The 20,958-nt window shown below is 37.3% G+C and overlaps 1 protein-coding gene across 6 annotated transcripts in view; it reads right to left on the reverse strand.

Moving 5' to 3' along the window:
- Positions 1-20,958, reverse strand: part of MAP4K3 (mitogen-activated protein kinase kinase kinase kinase 3) — a 188,020-nt gene that overhangs the window by 7,744 nt on the left and 159,318 nt on the right. For all 6 annotated transcript variants that reach the window (NM_001410753.1, XM_047446092.1, NM_001270425.2 and 3 more), the window contains 7 exons: positions 15,473-15,533; positions 15,274-15,391; positions 10,180-10,238; positions 8,194-8,297; positions 3,597-3,768; positions 1,510-1,578; positions 1,339-1,431 (listed from right to left, as the gene is read on the reverse strand). In NM_001410753.1, the coding sequence (NP_001397682.1) occupies positions 1,339-1,431; positions 1,510-1,578; positions 3,597-3,768; positions 8,194-8,297; positions 10,180-10,238; positions 15,274-15,391; positions 15,473-15,533 (676 nt within the window). The remainder of the gene's footprint in view (positions 1-1,338; positions 1,432-1,509; positions 1,579-3,596; positions 3,769-8,193; positions 8,298-10,179; positions 10,239-15,273; positions 15,392-15,472; positions 15,534-20,958) is intronic.

Raw genomic sequence — 20,958 nt, forward strand, 5'->3', positions numbered from 1 at the left:
ATCAGATATCCCTCGAAACTGACTTATTATAATCATTTGTTTGTTGGATGAATGACATTCTAGTTGGGAGAATGTAGAAAACAGAACCAGGAATAAGACAATGAACTAACTGCCTTTAGCCTTACCGTCTGCTAATACACATACACGCAAATATCTTTACTGATAAGGAACACCAGAAAAAGTGTGCCTAGTCAAATATTAATCACCATTCATTTTCCCAGCACTATCCTACATAAGATGATTTTCACCTTATTTTTCCTGAATGTAGTCATTTAAAAGTATTGATTGTCAGAAATCCTTTTCCAGAAAAATACTCCTATTAAGCAAAATGTGAGAATGACAAGAAGGAACTTCCATATACTTAAAATTCTCTGAGCAGCAGACACAACAGCCAAAACATAATCTGGTATACTGAGTACTAAATTTTAAAGCACTTATAGAAAAACCCTACAGGAGTCTGGAGGAAATGGGAATTCAAAACTATGTTATAAGAAATGATATTATTTCAAGGCCAGGCGCGGTGGCTCACGCCTGTAATCCCAGCACTTTGGGAGGCCGAGGCGGGTGGATCACGAGGTCAAGAGTTCGAGACCAGCCTGGCCAAAGTAGTGAAACCCCGTCTCTACTAAAAATACAAAAATCAGCCGGGGGTGGTGGCGGGCGCCTGTAATCCCAGCTACTCGGGAGACTGAGGCAGGAGAATCACTTGAATCCGGGAGGCAGAGGTTGCAGTGAGCTGAGACTGCACCATTGCACTCCAGCCTGGGTGGCAGAGACACTCCATCTCAAAAAAAAAAAAAAAAAAGAAATGATATTACTTCTTACCAGGAAGATAACATTATCTACACTACAGTTATTAAACTATTTTAGAAAATGTGTAAGAATGAAGGCTGATAGTGACCTCATATTTATTATATCCTCTAATTTTATTTTACTTTTTGAGACAAGAGTCTCGTTCCTCACCCAGGCTGGAGTGCAATGGTGCGATCTCAACTCATTGCAACCTCCCCTTCCCAGGTTCAAGTGATTCTCATGCCTCAGCTTCCCAAGTAGCTCGGACTACAGGCGTGTGCCAGCAAACCTGGATAATTTTTGTATTTTTAGTAGACACGGGGTTTCACCATGTTGGCCAGGCTGGTTTTGAACTCCTGGCCTCAAGTGATCCACCCACCTTGGCCTCCCAAAGTGCTGGGATTACAGGCATGAGCCACCATGCCCAGCCATATCCTTTATTTTAAAAAAAGAATCTTAATAATATCAATCTTTAATTTTGGATAATTAGCAGATAAATTATTTTAAGGAGTTCATAATGCAAAGAATTATAAAACTTTGACTTACCTATTGATTCAATCTGGAAATCAAAGGTGAGTTCTGATGACAATTTCCTGCTAGATTTTAATCTTCCTTGGAGATTTACTATTTTTATACAACCTAGAGGAAAAAAAGTCACTCAGAAACTAAGATAAAAGAAGTCTTATTAAAGTAAGACATTCATAAATAAAAACTTACAGTCCAAGCATACAAGGATGGTATCTCTCTCCAGTTGGGTTACATGAGTAACATTTGTCTGTGGGGTATCTACAATACAAACAAATTTTGGTAAACCTACAGAAACTGTGATACTTAAAGCATGGAAACATTGAAGAAAAAGAATTCTGAGGATAACAATACTTGAAACGGATATGTCTTCTGTAATACACATGTAGTGACTGAGCCAGGCTAGTGGGTTTAAATGCTGATGCAAGTGCTAAACAACGTAAGTGCTCAACAGAGCATATGTTGGCTGTTGTCAATACTACTGGCAATGCGGAACACATGGATACAGAATGCCGACTGCACTAGAAAACAAACATACTTAAAATATCCTATAATGCAACTTTTCTTCTTTTAAAAACCAAATTTTCTATTAGTGGGAGATTTGTAAATACATGTAGTTCTCAAACTATGGTTGCTGTATCAACACCATCAGCATCACCTGGGAATTTACAAAAATGAAAATTGTTTTTTTTTTTTGCGCCTGCTGCTCAGGCCGAAATGCTGTGGTGTGATCATGGCTCCCTGCAGCCTTGAAATCCTGGCCTCAAGTGACCCTCCTGACTTAGCCTTGTGAGTAGCTGAGACCATAGGTGTATGCCACCATGTCTGGCTAATTAAAAAAAAAAATTTAGAGATGGGGTCCTGCTATATCGCCTAGGCTGAGGTTTGTCTATATATGCCAAAACTATGGTCTTTGTGTCAACCTCATCAGCAACACTTGGGAATTCACGGAAATGAAAATTCTCAGGTCCTATCTAGACTATAAATGAACAGCTCCGGGGGTGGGGCTCAGAAATGTCACAAGTCTCCCAGTGATTCTGATGAATGCTCAAGTCTGGTAATTGCTGCTACATACTACATACTCAATGATCACTCTTACCAATACCCCTAGTGAAGTGATGGAAGATGATCAAAAAGGTAACATCACCTCAGGGAGGCAGGGCAACTGGAGTTGTGTAAAATGCAAATTTTCAGGTATACACCACTTAAAAATACATAAAATACTTAAAATTTCTGAGAGTTATGAAAATGTTAAGTACCCAAGTTTTGTTTTAAATGTTTCCTATGTTAATATACATTTCGTATTCATTTTCATATTAATGAACTTAGTCAAAACAATTTGATGCATGTAAAATTCTCCAAAAAGGAAATGTGAAACATATAAAATGAAAAGTATTATCAAAATATTAAAAATATTTGAGTCTATATAAATTATTTCCCTTTTGTTTGAAGAAAAAAAGTGCCTTAATTGGCATTTAATTTGTAATATTAATTTAATTATTTCCAAGAAAGATTAATGCAAACATGACTTTACGGGTTTCCTATACACAGTGTCCTTCAAGAGACATTGTTATTTAAAATACATATCACCAAAATCAAATAACAACCCAGGTGTATACCTCATTTTATAGTAAGAGGTGTGTTCATGCACAATTGTTTATTAATATATACCAAATATACATACCAATAATATACACAGGACTTTGAGGATCAGATCCTTATATTCATTTCTAAATAAAAAAACTGGTGTATGTGCTCTCAGTATCATGTTTTGGCAATGTTTGCTTGATTTAGTTGGTTAGTTAGAGACAGGATCTCATTCTGTCACCCAGGGTGGAGTACAATGGTGCGAACATGGCTCACTGCACCCTCGACCTCCTGGGCTCAAGTAATCCTCCCATCTTGGCCTCCCTGGTAGGTGGGACTACAGGCATGCACCACCATGCCCAGCTAACTTACATGCAATTTTTTTAGAGACAGGGTCTTGCTACATTGCCCAGGCTGTTCTTGAACTCCTGGACTCAAGCGATCTTCTCACCTTGGCCTCCCAAAGTACTGGGATTACTGGCGTGACCCACCATGCCCTGCCAGCCAATGTTTTAAATGTGTCATATGAATTAGCTATTTTAAAGAGAGTAATCTTCCCTTCTTCCAGTTTAATAATAGTTATTGAAGACTGGCAGTATATGCAGTTTTTCCTTAGTAAGAGATACAGTAAACTTACTACTTATAAAACCAGTATATGTATTACCCTTAATAATTCCATAAAAATTACAAACCTGATTCTGTAAACCATGAAGAGGTAGAATTTGGATTGACCGTCTCAAATCGAACCACTTGGTTGAAGTCTCTACCTCTACTGACACCAACACAAACTAAAGGGTACTCCTGTTCAGGAACTACCAGCATTTCAAACATTCTAAGTGGACATGGTATAGGAAAATCTATGTGCTAGAGAAAGAAACAAAAATACATTAAACCAAGGAAAATAAAAACCGAATAATTCTATGAGAATACTATAAAACAGCTTTCTACAATAAAGACTGCATCTTGTCACAGAAATTCAGGTAATGCAGAAAAATCTAAATTATGGACTCTCTTTTATAAACATTTTAGGTTTACCACCGCAAAATATTTTAAAGTTATAATTACATGATTTTAGGACATTAAGGCTGGAAGGGAATTTATAAGTCACGTGTCCAACCCTCTCTTTTCAGAGTTGGAACCTGGGGCCCAGGAACTGGGTGACCAGCCCATGGTCCCCCGGCCTTTGTGGCAGAGTCTCCTGTCTCCCAATGTGATGCTTCTTCAGTTATACTCCTCTGCCTTCTTAATCAACTGAGCAAACATGGATGAGAGAAGTGAAATGCTAATTAGCAAGAGACACTCCTCTTGTAAGATGTGAACAGAAAAAGTCATAAATCAAAAAAAATTAGCTTCATATCTCAAGTGATTTTTATCAAATCAACTCAGTTATAATACAACCCATTTTAATTTTATATGTTTAAAATTTATATTGCTACAAAGAATAAATTCACATTCTGAAGGACAAAAAAAATAGATGGAAAACACTAACTTCATTAGTAATCAAGAAATAAAACCACAATGAGATAAATACTATACATACCCACCGAATGGCTAAAATTAAAAAGAATGACAGTGAATAAGCATCCCAGAGGAGTAAGCAAATGCTCATACAACACTGGTGGTGGGACATAGAGTGGCATAGCCAGACTAGTTAACTGCATTATTTATTAATGCTGGAAGTAGGCATTCCTTAGGACCTTGCAATAATACTCCTAGGTATACATTCTAAAGAACATGAGTACACATATACAAGAGACAAATGCAAAACAGATAAAATTACGGCACATTCACAAAATAAAAAATTATATATAGACAACTGAAAAATGAATAAACTATAGCTATGTCCAGCAACTATACAAATATAATGTTGCACAAAAAGCCAGACACAAATGAACATATACTTTATAATTCCACTTAAATACTGTTGAAAAATTAAATAAAATTAGTTCTAATGTTTAGGGATATGAGCTTAGATAGTAAAAAAAGAGAAAAAAGGAAGAACTTTCTAGGTTTCCTTTGTAAAAAAGAAGCAGGGAGCTGACTAAAAGGGAGGATGACAAAGGGAATTCTAAAATTTTTCTTCACAAATTAAAAAAAATACCACTCTCATGCATATTTTATTTAGTTCATTCTTATATATTTTATATTTTTGTTGCTTTTATAAACTGGCTGTGTTTTCACTGTATTTTCCAAATGGTTATTGCTAGCATTTTATGAAGCTACTGGATTTGATTTGTTTTCTTTTTAATCTGGCAACTCATAAATTCTAAAGAAAAGTAAAAGGTGCAACGGGGGATATCCTAACAGGTAGTTTTAAAGTGTTGGAAGACACAAAATGGTACTCATGGCTGGAATGTGAAGCTCTGTGTTCACCTGCTGTTCCTACAGTCCTTCTTTCCCTGTGGCTGCTAAAGTGCCTCCATTCCACGGGCACAGACACTTCATCAATATTCTCCAAACCTCTTCTCTAGGAGCTTTCCCATTACCTTGGGGCACATGCTTTTGATAAAATCTGTCATTTTTAATAAGGTACAGCAACTTAAATAATTCTCTTTGAAATAAAGAGCAACGAAGCAGAAAAAAAACCAATGCTTCTGATTAAAGACGCATCTTTAAACTTTTACAGTTTAAACACAGAAACAACGCTTTAAAAAAAAACACAACAGATTTTGATTACTTCTACATTGCTTCCAATAATAACTAAGCAATTTGTATAAGTCATTAACAGAAGGGGATTCATGTCTAATAGTTTTAAATCCAGTTGCTATTGTCCTCGAGGGCAGCAATTGTATCTAATGTATTTTTGTCTCTCTAGTAAATAACACGGTGCCTTGCCTGCAATAGGTACATCATGTTTGCTGGAGAGATCTTTAATTTTTAACTTTTATTTATAATGAAAATGCAGTCCAGGCTGGGTGCGGTGGCTCAAACCTGTAATCCCAGCACTTTGGGAGTATGACGCGGGTGGATCACCTGAGGTCAGGAGTTCGAGACCAGCCTAGCCAAGATGGTGAAACCCCATCTCTACTAAAAATACAAAAATTAGCTGGGTGTCTGTAATCCCAGCTACTCGGGAGGCTGAGGCAGAGAACTGCTTGATCCTGGGAGGCTGAGGGTGCAGTGAGCTGAGATCATGCCACTGCACTCCAGCCTGGCCAACAGAACCAGACTCCATCTCAAAAAAAAATAAAAGCAGTCTAATGATGCAAAAACTGTCAGAAATGTCATTAGGAGGAAACAAGAATATAGAAAGCGTAACAATGTTTTTGAATACATCTGATTAAGGGTTATAGTATAGAAACATCATAAATACTGATAGAAATAATGTTAAATATGGAGACAAAATATACATATAGAAGTTTTTTTTTTTTTTTTTTGAGACGGAGTCTCGCTCTGTGGCCCAGGCGGGAGTGCAGTGGCGCAATCTCGGCTCACTGCAAGCTCCGCCTCCCGGGTTCAGGCCATTCTCCTGCCTCAGCCTCCCGAGTAGCTGGGACTACAGGCGCCCACCATCACGCCCGGCTATTTTTTTTTTTTTTGTATTTTTAGTAGAGACGGGGTTTCACCGTGTTAGCCAGGATGGTCTCGATCTCCTGACCTCGTGATCCGCCCGCCTCGGCCTCCCAAAGTGCTGGGATTACAAGCGTGAGCCACCGCGCCCGGCCCATATAGAAGTCTTGACGCAGAGAGACACGGAAAGGAAAGCTAGGTTAAGATTAAGGAAGGCAGGCAAACATTATAGCTCAGAGAGTTTAAGAAAAGGGAGAAGAGTGATTAAAATCTTGAGGGAGACCTGCAAGTAGTATTGTACTACAGGTTCACTATCTCAGAATGCTGGTAAGAGGCCTCATTAGAGCCAGGCCAAGCACCCTGGTACCATCTACCCGGAAAAGAGAAGCCATGGATGGGTAATTTTTAAGCGTCCTATGTCTTCAAAGTATATATTCCCTCCTGCATGCTCTTGACATGGACAATTCCTCTAACAGAGAAAAGCATCTTTCATTATATATTAGCATAAATGGTTTACCATATTAGATAACACATAAAATTCATTCATACCAGGTTAATCAGTATATCAGTATACAAGAATAACTGATATGATGAAACATTTTCATTTTGATAGAGGTTAGGAATGAAAATAATAGGAGGGACATATTTAAAATAGCCTGAAGAAAGAAAGGAAAAAGATAGGAAAGGAAGAGGTTGATGAAAAATCAAACTGTGTAGACTTTACCATTCCATCTTGGATAGAGCATTCTTTTGTCAAATAAACAAGAATAAAGAGGAGCTGAGAACAAAACAATGTTTGCCATAAATGGGCTGTATTCAGTAGTTCTGCTTTAGACAACTTATAAGGCTATTTTCCCCTGAGCTTTCAGTTTAAATAATTTTTGTTTCAGTGCATTTACCTGTGAAATTAATACTTCAATAGGTTTCAAATTCTTGAAACTATATTTTCATCTGTTTAGCCCTAGTGAATCTCGAGGGTAAAACTGATATGAAAACGAAAACTAGATTTCTTAGTCACTTACAGGATTTTAAACAACAGGGAGTCAATACTTTAAACATCTTAATACTATAAAATTTAGGAAGAACCCCACTCCAGCTATATTCCGACTCTAATTTCTACTGAGATCAAATGCACATGAAATAAGACCACTCAGTCCATATATAATAGCATGGAAAATGACTTTTAAAATTCATTTGGTATTTCCTTGATGTAATTAACTGAGCCTGTACTTCACACATTTTAAAAGTTAGTTTTTCCTTAAATGTAAGTTACAGATGAGTAACAGTAAATATTTTAAAAATTATTCATTAATTAAATGATTCTATAAAAAAAATCTGTGGAAAGGCCTAGGTAAATTAATGGGTGGGTATATAACTAAAAACAACTTGTTTCCCTGTCATTATGGTTACCCCTAGTTCTCCTAGGCCAAACTGCAACCTGTATGTTGTTTTCAGCTGTGATGGAGGTCAACCAGAGAGTGTATTCAAAATATTTCACTGATCTTTTAGTACTTCCTGTTTCTGCCATCAGGCTCTGTATGTGAGACACTATTTCCAGCTCCCCACCGCCATACCCTTGCATTATTTCTCTAGTCTCTTATAAAACTTTTACTAGGCCAATTAAGTTGCTTACAACTGGGCAGATTTTTACAACCCTGCCACATTATCTAAAATCACTAAATTAACTTGAAAATTAACTGAAAAAAATGTTTCTTTAAAGAACAGTAAGGTTGACAAGCTTTTATAGTAAGAATAAGATAGTCTGACTTTTATGCTTACCTTAATTAACATAAATTTCTGCATTGGTTCAACCCATTCTAATAGAACAATGCTAGTCTGAAGTGCTCCACATAGGTATTTATGGCCCGTGTAAGGATTTCTTACTGTCAAAGCAAAAATATAAATGAGTTCTCTTATAAAACAAAGTCATTATGACAATAATTGCATGCTCAAAAAAACAAACAAAACTAAACAAACTAAACATAAAACAAAATCAAAAGCTGGTTGCCAGTTCAGTTTCTTAATTAGAGGGCTGGGTGAAAAAAATACTGTTTCAGGTAATAGCAGGAAATGCCCTCTTAACTTGCAGGATTTTTATTTGTATGCACAAATGAAACTGCTGGTTATAATGAGGCTGTGGGGTAAGAGGAAGGACTTTTCGTCTTATGATGGTAGGAAAATTACCTGAGGTGGCAACATTCTGATAAAAGGGTCAAAGTAAATTTGGGAAGAAGTTGTCAGACTCCTAAGATACAACACATTCGGGTGGTTCACAAGGTGCTTTTGGTGGTAATGTTCAGAGGCAATAATGTTTTGTTTCTGAAAATAAAACACTTGTCTATCTTCCCCCTTTTGATTCAATTCTTATGGTCACTAGAAAACATCACAGATATTAATCGAACCTTAAAATACTGGTTTACAAATAATAAAATTGAATTACCTCAGATTTTGAAATTTTCTTCTGGTTATAAACCAGAAGAAGTAAAGTAAATATATGTGAAGTAAATATATTTGGAATAAAGATAAAAAAACTGAACTGTGAAAAGGGGAACAGCAGTAAAGTTCACACACTTCAAATAGATTTGAAATATTTAAATGGCAGAGGAGGAGAACAGCAAAACTGTCCCGCCAAAGAAAACAGAGAAGTCTATATAGGAAATTCTTTCCTATAATTAACTTTTCCTAAAAACCTGCCCCTTTGTCCTCAGGTAGAGTCAAGTAAATTTGCTGCAGTTCTAACAGAGACTCAACCACCATGTCTAAACCCAACCTTGTCATCCTCTTTTGCTCTAAACCAGCTGTTCTCGCTTCCTGTTAACACTTGCCCTTCTGCCAGTCTTTTGGGTTTGAGGCCTCAGTCATCTCTGACATCTTTTCCCTTCACACCCAGATACTCCTTCCCTGCTATTTGCACTGCTACTGCTCTAGCACAAGACTTCCTTCCTTACTTGTTGCACAGTAATAAGTACATGCTCACACAAGGCCAATGGCTCACACTCATCTGCCACTCTCCTTTCTATCATCTGTATCCAGCTAAGCGAATAGTCAGCATTTATTATGTAACCTTTATGATTTTTTTTTTGCCTCCACATGTTATGTCATTTCTTCTGTTTGAAATGACTCTCCATCTATTCAGTTCAAATCTGAATCTGCCTTATTTTGAGGCCTGGCCCAAATGCCACCTTCTTCAGTGAGCCTATGTTTAGAGTCCTTTCCACACTATACTTGTGGTATAATGACTCATGTGTTTATCGTCCCTTTTATAATAATAGTAACTTAAGGGAAAGAAATCATTTTTTGCTCTGGCTACATGCAAATAGAACAACTAATTGTTATTGGGGTGGGGGAGGAATTTAGGTGAGAGGAAGGTGAACATAAAAATACATGCTGAAGGAATAAATGCCATCTCACAAGCCATTGCTAAGCAGAATGGTGAATGGTACGTAACAGGACCCTTGGAAAACAGGGTGTGATAAAATGTGGTAAAAAAAAAAAAGTCATACAACTTTCTCCATTTACCTAGGCAATAAATTATTTGTTTAGCAAATAATTTATTTGCTAATAAACATTTATTTGCAAATAAATTATTTGCAAGGTACTATGTATTAGGCTTAGTCTACACAGAGATGAAACAGCCAAGAAATTTGTTCTACTTAAGCAGGAAAAATAAAGTATTGCTGGCAGAATGCCCTGGGGTAGTACTGTTTTATGCCAGATTTTAGGAGGAGTCTCAGAGAGCTATATGCTATTGGACAGTTTACTTACCAACACAACACTTCTGGCACCATTTGGTTTCAGGGATTTTTGCTGATACAGAAAATTTCCTAAATGTAAATAAAAGTGAGTACGTAATATATGTAGGCAAACTTAGTATATGAAAAAGCTACTGTTATAGATCAGTGCACAAAGGATGAGTTCAAAACTGGTGCTGACATACTAGCTCATCTATTAAAATTAGAATAAAAAGGCCGGGTGCCATGGCACGTTGCCTGTAATCCCAGCACTTTGGGAGGCCGAGGTGGGCGGATCACAAGGTCAAGACTTCGAGACCAGCCTGGCCAACATAATAAAACCCCGTCTCTACTAAAAATACAAAAAAATTAGCCAGGCATGGTGGTGTATGCCTGTAATCCCAGCTACTCAGGAGGCTGAGGCAGGAGAATCGCTTGAACCCAGGAGGTGGAGGATGTGGTGAGCCGAGAGCACACCATTGCACTCCAGCCTGGGCAACAACAGAAGAGCAAAACTCGGTCTCCAAAAAAAAAAAAAAAAAAATTAAATAAATTGGATCCCCTTCTCATGGCCCCCAATCAGTTCCAAATGGGTTAAGGGTTTAAATATGAAAACAAACTATAGAAGTCTATAGAAATATATGACCTTGGGATTTAAGAAATACAAAAACAACAAATCATACAGGAAAATGCTGTTACATTTTAATTGGCTTTTTTGCCCCCACTGATTCAACCTTAGCACCTCAAACTACAGGTGGCAGTCAATTACTGAATTAGTAACTTTGGTTTACCAAAAGATATCATTGAGAAAATGAAAAGCCAAAAACTGGAGAGAGCTATTTTTAGTACATGTAATACATTTACATGTACTGTAAAAAGCTGTCTTATTATAAAAATTTGTGAAGAATTTCTTTTTTAGAAATCTTTGTTTCTCTACTCAGGAAAAGTGGGATACAGATGTTCTGCAAAGGTGCTATAGGTGTTTTGCAAACATCTGACTCGAATTTAATAGATAAAAATCAATTCTGAATTTTTTTAAAAACTACAATTTAAAAACTACACATACACTCAAATGTCTTTTAAAATGTAATATAATAAAGGTTGTTGGTGCATCAAATTGTAAAAACCTCAAATTAAACCCATTTCTGTACATACTTTTTATTATTAAATTTTATTTTATTTTTTGGACAAGGTCTCGCTCTGTCGCCCAGGCTGGAGTGCAAGGGTGTGATCTTGGCTCACTGCAACCTCCGCCTCCCAGGTTCAAGCAATCCTCCTGTCTCAGAATGCCAAATAGCTGGGACTACAGGTGCCTGCCATCATGCTCAGCTAATTTTTGTATTTTTAGTAGAGACGGGGTTGTGCCACTTTGCCCAAGCTGGTCTCGGACTCCTGAGCTCAGGTGATCCGTCCGCCTCGGACTCCCAAAGTGCTGGGATTACAGGTGTGAGCCACTGTGCCCGGCTAAAGATTTTTTCTATTTTTTTTTTTTTTTTTTTTTTTGAGACGGAGTCTCGCTCTGTCGCCCAGGCTGGAGTGCAGTGGCTTGACCTCAGTTCACTGCAACCTCTGCCTCCCAGGTTCAAGTGATTCTCCTGCCTCAGCTTCTCAAATAGCTGTGATTACAGGCATCAGCCACCACACCCAACTAATTTTTGTACTTTTAGTAGAGACGGGGTTTCGACATGTTGGCCAGGTTGGTCTCGAACTCCTGACCTCAATTGATCCACCGTGCCTGACTTCTACAAACATCTAAACTCTTTTTTTTAAAAAAATAATTTTTAGAAGAAAGAGACAGATTTCACCATGTTGCCCAGGCTGGTCTCAAATTCCTGAGGCTCAAGTAATCTGCCAAAAGTGCAGCCTCCTTAAGTGCTGGGATTACAGGCATGAGCCACTTAAACTTAAATGTGTAAATTTGCCAAAGATTAGATAGATGCCAGTGCTCTGTACAAGTCTTTTTTTTTTTTTAGAGTTGTACAATTTTATATAAAATTGTACAGCACATGTGTGATGTTCAGTGCAATTCCAAACAAGCTCAGAACAATTTTCCTGATGGATGTTCTTGTAACCACACAATTGGCAACTGAATGATAAGCATAAATATAATATTAAAAAATATAATATCGTAGTACTGTAATTTTAACCCTTAATACATTTTATATATTGACCTATTTATGAAAAGCTATAATTTTAGCTTCATTTACTGAGTCCTTACTATGTGCCATGCATTTTAGACATCTGTGTCATTCAGTCCCTCCAATAAAGAGGTAGGTTACAGCATAGAAATCTGAAGCTTAGATTTTTGCTCAGGTCTTTTTTTTTTTTTTTTTTTTTGGAGACAGGGTCTCACTCTGTTGCCCAGGATGGAGTGCAGTGGCTCAATCTTGGGTCACCGCAACCTCTGCCTCTTGGGTTCAGGCAATTCTCCTGCCTCAGCCTCCCAGGTAGCTGGAACTACAGGCTGTATCAATTTAAATGAACATTATTCAGAGTGTGCAAGGTAAGCTGTCAAAAACTGTTACCTCTTTTTAAGTACTTGTCTTTGTGAATCAAAACGTTTTTCACACTGTGACAGCTAAACAATGACACAGAATTTATTCAGATGTTGAAACACTGAACGACTACAATGGCAATCTAGAATATTCTGATTACGATTTTCTGGTTAAAACACCTCATTGTACCCTTGACTAACTTTACATTAGGAAAAGTTTTACATTATAACTTACAATTATAAAAATGCCCCTTTCATATACATTGGAGTTTAATGCAGCTTAAAATAAAACAAAACAAAAACTCCCCACACTCTTAACGAATCTGCTTTGAACCAAAGCGCTTTTTAGAGTTAAAAAAAATCTGAACCAAGCTCCTGACAGATTTCGGCTGGCAGAAAGTTTAATGTTCCTGTCCACACTTGTGAACTTGTGTCCTAGCTCCCAAAGCTAACTTAGGGGTTAAAACACTGAACTAGTCAAAACCCAGGAGGATTAACTGCCAAGTTCTGAAAGACCATAGGGATGACTACTACACAAACAGAAATCAACTATTAAGTATGGCTGTGAATTAAGGATTTCAAAAACTTTTCAAAATAAGAGTTGTGGGCAGTACACTGAAATGTTTCAAAAATTTAGTTAATGTTCTATAGTGATCTATAGACTTGCCTTAATTTTAGTCATGATTTTATGAAACACAATACAACTTATTTTACCAGCACCCAATTAACTGGAATTCTAAATTAACTGTCTGAATGTATTTAACATAGGATATTTTAGAGTACACTACAAGGCAGAGTTCAATTTATCATGCCCAATAATGATGACAAAAGGTCTATTTCTTGAGAGCTTACTAGGTGCTGTGGTAGGTACTTTACATACACGATTTATCATTTTCAAAACAACTCTGCCAGATGAGTATATAGGTTCCAGTTACAGCTGAATATACGTGGAGAGGCTGTATAATTTACCCAAGGTCCCATACCTAGTAAGTAAATGATACAACTGTACTTGAATTCCAAAGCTTATGCTTTACTAAAAATGGATTACAATATGGTACAATGAGTACCTATCTTCAGAATGAGAACCATGAGGCTCTTTATCATCAGATTAAGAATAAGACACTCAGTAGAGGTTTAAGTTGTGCTCACTGTATGGCAGAAGAAATGGTATGAATGCACATATATAAAATATTATGATGCTAAAAGGGTTTTTAGGTTTCCTGCCAATAAGTGAGAGAATTAAAAGATTTTACAGTAATTACTAGATAATGAAACTGAAGAAAGTGGGAAGGACATATTTGTGGCTGTTACTATTAAAAAAACTAAAGATTGACTATAATAAAATTCCTGAAATAATAACCTGGAGGTGAAATACCCTTAGAGCTGAACACATGGGGAAAGGTTGTATAATTTATCCAAGGTCCCATATCTAGTAAGTCAATGATCCAGGATTTAAATTCAACTTTACTTGAATTCCAAAGCTTATGCTTTATTAAAAATGAATTATAATATGGTACAATAAGTACCTATATTCAGCGTAGGTAAAATCATACCATATGGAAACTCCTTAAAGGAAGAGACTATATCTTATTCAATTTTGTCTCATTTATACATGGGACATTTCATACACATTTGGTGTATTCAGTAAAATCTGGAAGAAACGAACACAGCTAAAAGCAAATAAGCTAAAAAGGTCTCTATTGAGAACAGCAGATTCTCAAGGTACTCGAAAATTAAGGTTTTATGTTAGTTGCTTTACAACAAATATTATAAAAAAGAATAGGCATATTATAAAGTTTTTGTAAAATACAATTTATACCAGAGCTAGAAAATCTTTCAGTCAATAAAGAGGTCCAATATTATATTAAATAACGAAAGAACAGAGCATAATAACAAATTACTGAAACTAGAAAGGCAAAACCACTCAACTTCAAACTAATTATCTTCTAATGCAAAACACTGAGACACGGTCTTGCCTTGTTAGCCAGGCTGGAGTGTAGTGGCATGATCATAGCTCACTGCAGTCTCAACCTCCAGGGCTCCACTGATCCTCCCACTTCAGCCTCCTGAGTAGCTGGAACCACAGGCTCGAGCCACCATGCCTGGCTACTTTTTAAAAAATATTTTTTGTAGAGATGAGGTCTTGCTATGTTGCTCAGGCTGGTCTTGAACTCCTAGCCTCAAGCCATTTTCCTGCCTCAGCCTCTCAAAGTATTGGGATTACAGGCGTGAGCCACCATGCCAGGTTGCAAAAACACTTTTCAATAAATCATTTTGATTTTCTAGGTATAGAAACTTTGAGAAAAATTTTATAAAGTTAACACATATGTCAAAAGCAAAGGCACTAAATGCAATGTAAAATTATGGCAAAGTACAAGAAAAAAACTAGTTTTAAACTTGCAGAAAAAGAATAAAAAATTCAGAGAGAAAATGTCTGATATAATTTGAAAGTACAAAGTAGAAAAATTTTAGAACAAGAGTGTGATCACTAAGCACTTGTTAATGTATATTACTTATTATTTTTTCATCATGATTTTTATTAACCCAAACTGAGTGCTCTTTCACTTTCTGTAACATAAATATTTATGAGAATGAACTGTTAATATCATATTGCCTCTAAGGATGTACCCTTACCTTGGCAGTATTCTGTCAGGGAGTTTGTGTGCTGGAATAGCAACAGGTAACTTTTGCATTTGTCTTGCATAATCAAAAAGCCCTGGTAAATTATGGGAATAAAGCTGAGAAGCTTTACCTATAAAGAAAAACAGATATGACATAAAAGCTAATAATAAATAGTAACAATTGTAAGGTATTTAAAAACTAATATACTTACCAGATATTGATAGCAAGCAATTGTTCATTACATACAACCATGTACACCTTCGAGGGAATAGCTGATTAAAAAAAGGCACAAAGTTTACAAAGAATAATACATAATGGCAATGTAAATCTGTACACAGTAATCACGTAAGCTGTCTTATCTACAGGTCAGTTCTTTAAAAGTAAATTATTTTTAACATAAATTAACTTTATCAAGGATTCAAACCAAGATGATATATATACATACATATTTATGTGAGAGAAAAAATAAATTAGGCTAAATTTTAGCCTAAACACGATATGATCAGCTCAAGTCTCCCTTATGATTAAGGGCTATGTAACCCCAAACTATGCAGGGAATAACAACATTTTCAAACAACATCTATTCCTTTATTTTGGTTCTGGGGTTGAATAAGATTCTCCTCTCTACTCCTCCCAAAATAGACGTATCTAGGCACAATATGCATTCTAGGGTGTATGATACAGGAAAAAGCATCATGGTGTAGTGGAACACAGGATACAGAAACACTAGGTATGGAGGGAAAAAAAAGGCTGAGATAGAAGATGATGAAAACTCATAAATCACAAAGCAGATATATATATATATGAAATTTATTACTAAAATTTAGTACCATAAGAACTGAGAGGCATCTCTGGAAGCCTGAAAGTGGTCACAACTTAGAGCAAAGAAAAAGGAATTTCATGGAACACAATCTATATATTTAAAAAAAAATACTCTCATTAAGACATTTCGTTATGCGTATCAGTGGTTTTTAAATGGTCCTTGGACCAGCAGCTTCAACAACACCTGGGCACATGGTAGAAATGTAAATTCTTGGACCTCACCCCAGATCTACTGAAGCAAGAAGTTCTGAAGGAGGACCCAGGAATCTATGGTTTAACTAGGCCTCCAAGTAATTCTGAGGCAGACTGAAGTTTGAGAGCCACTGATGTACATAATTAGACATCCTGATTTAACAACCTTTGTTGCTGGGTTTGCTCTGGCAATTCCTACAACTAAGTTACTCCAAAACTAATTGAGATGAGAGAATGGAATAGAGAGGACCCAGGGGTGAATGATGAAACACATCAAGGCCTCTAAGGACATTACTTTATGGAAACACAGCCATAATAATGGGACTGAATAACTAAAAGAGAAAAGGTAATAATAAAAGGGAGGAGAAACAAAGTAACATTTTAATAAAAATTTTATTTCATTTACTGGGAAAATGTACTTACATAAAATAACCAATTTCTCCAAACAACTAAAATGTGGCATTGCCAATACAGTTTTTTAATTTGTAAAATGTGCCTATACCTGTGCCTCAAATAGAGAAGTTATCAACATCCATTTCCTACTTTCTGCTTTTCACAAAAAATTCACAACAAAATTGGGACTTCATTGGCTATACTGAAAAAATCAGGTAGAGAAGGGGCAATGACTTATTCCAGACCACATATCAGTACGTGTTATCAAAGTAGCAAGATACAGATTTTTATTTAATTCAGTGTTGAACTGGGTTTTCATACACATATCCACTAAAAAAGTATCTGATACTACATCGATGGTTTACTATAAAATTATATACTTCCAAATGTAAGTAGGTTTGCTTATTTAATATAAACATATATAAAGTAGCAAGACAAGACACAAATTCCTTTCATATTTTCAACATAGGGACAATGAAAAGGTATTTATGTATAGTTTTATTTAAAAAGTACTGGATTTCATTTTGAATTTTCTTTCTCTCTCTTTTTTTTTTTTTGAGATGGAGTCTCGCTGTGTTGCCCAGGCTGGAGTGCAGTGGCGCGATCTCCGCTCACTGCAAGCTCCGCCTCCCAGGTTCACGCCCTTCTCCTGCCTCAGCCTCCCGAGTAGCTGGGACTACAGGCGCCCGCCACCACGCCCGGCTAATTTTTTTTTTGTATTTTTAGTAGAGACGGGGTTTCACCGTGTTAGCCAGGATGGTCTCGATCTCCTGACCTCATGATCCACTCACCTCGGCCTCCCAAAGTGCAGGGATTACAGGCATGAGCCATCGCGCCTGACCCTGAATTTTCATTTTTAACAACTTTTACAAATCTAAAGCTTTACTAGATTTTCAATGCTTTCTTCCTTTAGTGAGTTAGGTTCTAGGTGAAATGATCAGTTTAATAAATAAGAATATAACAGTTAAGAAGGGTAGCTTCTATATTCTGCCTAGACTCATATATCTGTTTTATCAATGATTGTGTGATCTTGGGTAATTTACTGAATCTCTGTCTCAGTGTTCTTATCTGTAAAACAGAATACCTGTATCTCATAGAGCTGAATAGTAATTAAACAAGATACTCCTTGTAAAGCACTTAGAAGAGTGCTGAGTACTGAATAAATGTTAGCTATAAATAATAAAAGCAGATAAAAAACTTTAAATCAGGACCCTGATTAGTGTCATCTTCTCACTTTTCAGAATCTTCCCCTATTTAGTAGGCTCACGCCACCCTGTTTCCTATAAAGTCTAGAGAAAATCAACCTAATCATCAATTTCACAGTAAGATGAAAAATTCAGGCTCCACATATACTAATTCTTTACTCTTATAGGCTCCCTCTAGGAGGGAAAAATGTTTCCTTTGAAGGGCAATGTTTCAAAAAAAATTACTCTAGTAATGTAATTCAAATGCTAAAGCAACTAAGAAGGGAAGTTATTGCAGACTGGGGCTAGGTGTGGTTGATGGGTGCCTTCTCTCAAGAGTCCTGGCCAGGCCTGGTGACTCACACCTGTAATCCCAGCACTGGGTGGGTAAGGCAGAAGGACTGCTGGAGCCCAGAAGTTTGAGACCAGCCTGGGCAACAAAGTGAAATCCCAGTCTCTACAAAATATCAAAAAATTAGCTGGGCATTGTGGCATGTGGCTGTAGTCCCAGCTACTGAGAACGCTGAGGTGGGTCACTTGAGCCCAGGAGGTCAAGGCTGCAGTGAGCTGTGTTCACGCCACTGCCCTCCAGCCTGGGTGACAGAATGAAACCCTGTCTCAAAAATAACAACAACAACAAAAGAGTTCTTCAAATTAGGTTGATAAATGCTTACTCCACCTATGCATAAAGCTGGCCTTATTCCTTACAATTAATATTGTTACCAATATTATTTTTGGATATCTCATTATACCCAATAAAAATATGACCACCTTTGAATTATTTACTAATTATTATAATTACAAGATCCTTTTCCTCCCTTTCCCTGTTCTTAGGCACTTTTCAGCCATTTCACTGTACACCATTTCCAGATTAAAAGATTTACAGTATATCATACAGTTTAGGATCTTGCTAGAAAATTTGATTTAAAAAATGAAGATGAAACTGTTTAGTCATGAATAAATCATTACTTATATATTTTTCTTTCCATTTTATTTGTAATCAATTTATTTTTATTTTTATTTTGTTTTGAGATGGAGTCTCACTCCGTTGCCCAGGCTGGAGTGCAGTGGCGTGATCTCGGCTCACTGCAACCTCCGCCTCCCGGGTTTAAGTGATTCTCCTGTCTCAGCCTCCTGAGTAGCTGGGACTACAGCTGCACATGACCATGCTTGGCTAATTTTTGTATTTTTAATAGGGACGGGGTTTCACCTTATTTGTTAGGCTGGTGTCGAACTCCTGACCTCAGGTGACCACCCACCTCGGCCTCCCAAAGTGCTGGGATTACAGGCATGAGCCACCACGGCCGGCCTTGTAATCGATTTATATTGATAAAAGAATTAGTCACACATCCCGAAGGCACCCCAAACTCAGTATGACCAAATTGAAAGCATTACCATTCTCTTCAAATCAACACATCCTTCAGTATACTATACTCCATCTTTCTGTTACTGTCAGGCACCCAGTCACTCAAGTGGAAAACCTAAAGTTAACCTAGACCTCTCTTCAACCTCCATGTTGAAACGGTCATTCAATTCGGTCAATTCTAGATCTCTGATCTTTCTCTAGGTCCAGCATTTCTCTACAGGAACTATACAATCGGTAGAGAGAATATGGTGAAGTAGTTAAGCACATGGAATCTGGAGCTAGCTTGCCTAGGTTCATATCGCAGTCCAGCCACTGAATAGCTATGGAGTCTTTGGCAAGTTACTAATCCTTTCGGTGCTTTAGTTTTCTCATCCGTGAAGTGAGATTATCAATGGTGTCTACCTGTGAGAGATTTCATGAAGACTAAATAATATATGTCAAGCATTTAAAAACACTGCGTGGACACATAGTAAGCTTTATGTAAGTATTAGCTATTAATAGCATCACCATTATTATCAGTTTGTAGGTTGTTTTATGTTCCTGACTCGTGGGTACTAAATGATAAAAGCTCCCCCCACTCATTGTGACACTCAAAAACATCCCCATACTGGGGGAGAGGAGGAGAGAAATGGGGAATGACCACTAATGATTACGGAGGTTCTTTTGGAGATGATAAAAATGTCCTAAAACTGATGGTGTAATGGCTGCACAACGCTGTGAACGTACTAAAAGCCACTGAATTGTACCCTTTAAGTGGGTGAACTGTATGATATGTGAATTATATCTCGATAAAACTGTTTTTGAAAAATATCTTTTCCCCTCTGTTCTCTACCTTTGCCCTGAATTAACACTCTTTTACCATTTGACCATGGTTTCTAGTCTCATCTCTCACCGTACTGCAAACAGATATTTCTAAAACACAGGTCTGTTCCATCAGCATAGTACACCAAGCTCTGGTGTTTGGCTTCTGCCTGCCTACCCAGCTCCATCTATTGTTACCATTCTGTACTCCAGTCAAATGCCCAGTCATTGTTCCCAAACTTGCCATGCTATTTCACATCTCTATGCCATCATGCTTATCCTGTCTGTGTGACAAACTTCTATTCATCATAATTTAAGGTCCATCTCAAATGCCTCTACTCATCTCCCCACAGGAGGTGCTGGTGACATCCACCTCTGTGGCCAATATCTTATACTCATTCCTAATATGACATCTAATCCTGAGTGCTGTAGTTACTGGTTTATACACCTGTTTTCCCTATTAGATCATGAGCTTCTCAAGGGTATGGACTAGTCCTGTTAACCTGTCTTCAGTATCTGGTAATTAGAACATGCTCCAGAAGGTTTTTTTTTTGAGGTGGAGTTTCACTTTTGTTGCCCAGGCTGGAGTGCAATGGCGTAATCTCGGCTCACTGTAACCTCCTCCTCCCGGGTTCAAGTGACTCTCCTGTCTCAGCCTTCGAAGCAGTTGGGATTATAGGCACAGGCCACCATGCCCAGCTAATTTTTATATTTTTTAGTAGAGACAGGGTTTCACCATGTTGGCCAGGCTGGTCTCGAACTCCTGACCTCAGGTGATCTGCCTGCCTTGGCCTCACAAAGTGCTGGGATTACAGGCGTGAGCCACCATGCTCGGCGTCATGAGGATTTTAAGAATAAAAGACGCTGGGGTGGGGTGGCTCATATCTATAATCCCAGCACTTGAGGCCAGGAGTTCCAGACCAGCATGGGCAACATGGT

This window comes from Homo sapiens, chromosome 2 (assembly GCF_000001405.40).
Source record: "Homo sapiens chromosome 2, GRCh38.p14 Primary Assembly".
Taxonomy (NCBI): Eukaryota; Metazoa; Chordata; class Mammalia; order Primates; family Hominidae; genus Homo; species Homo sapiens.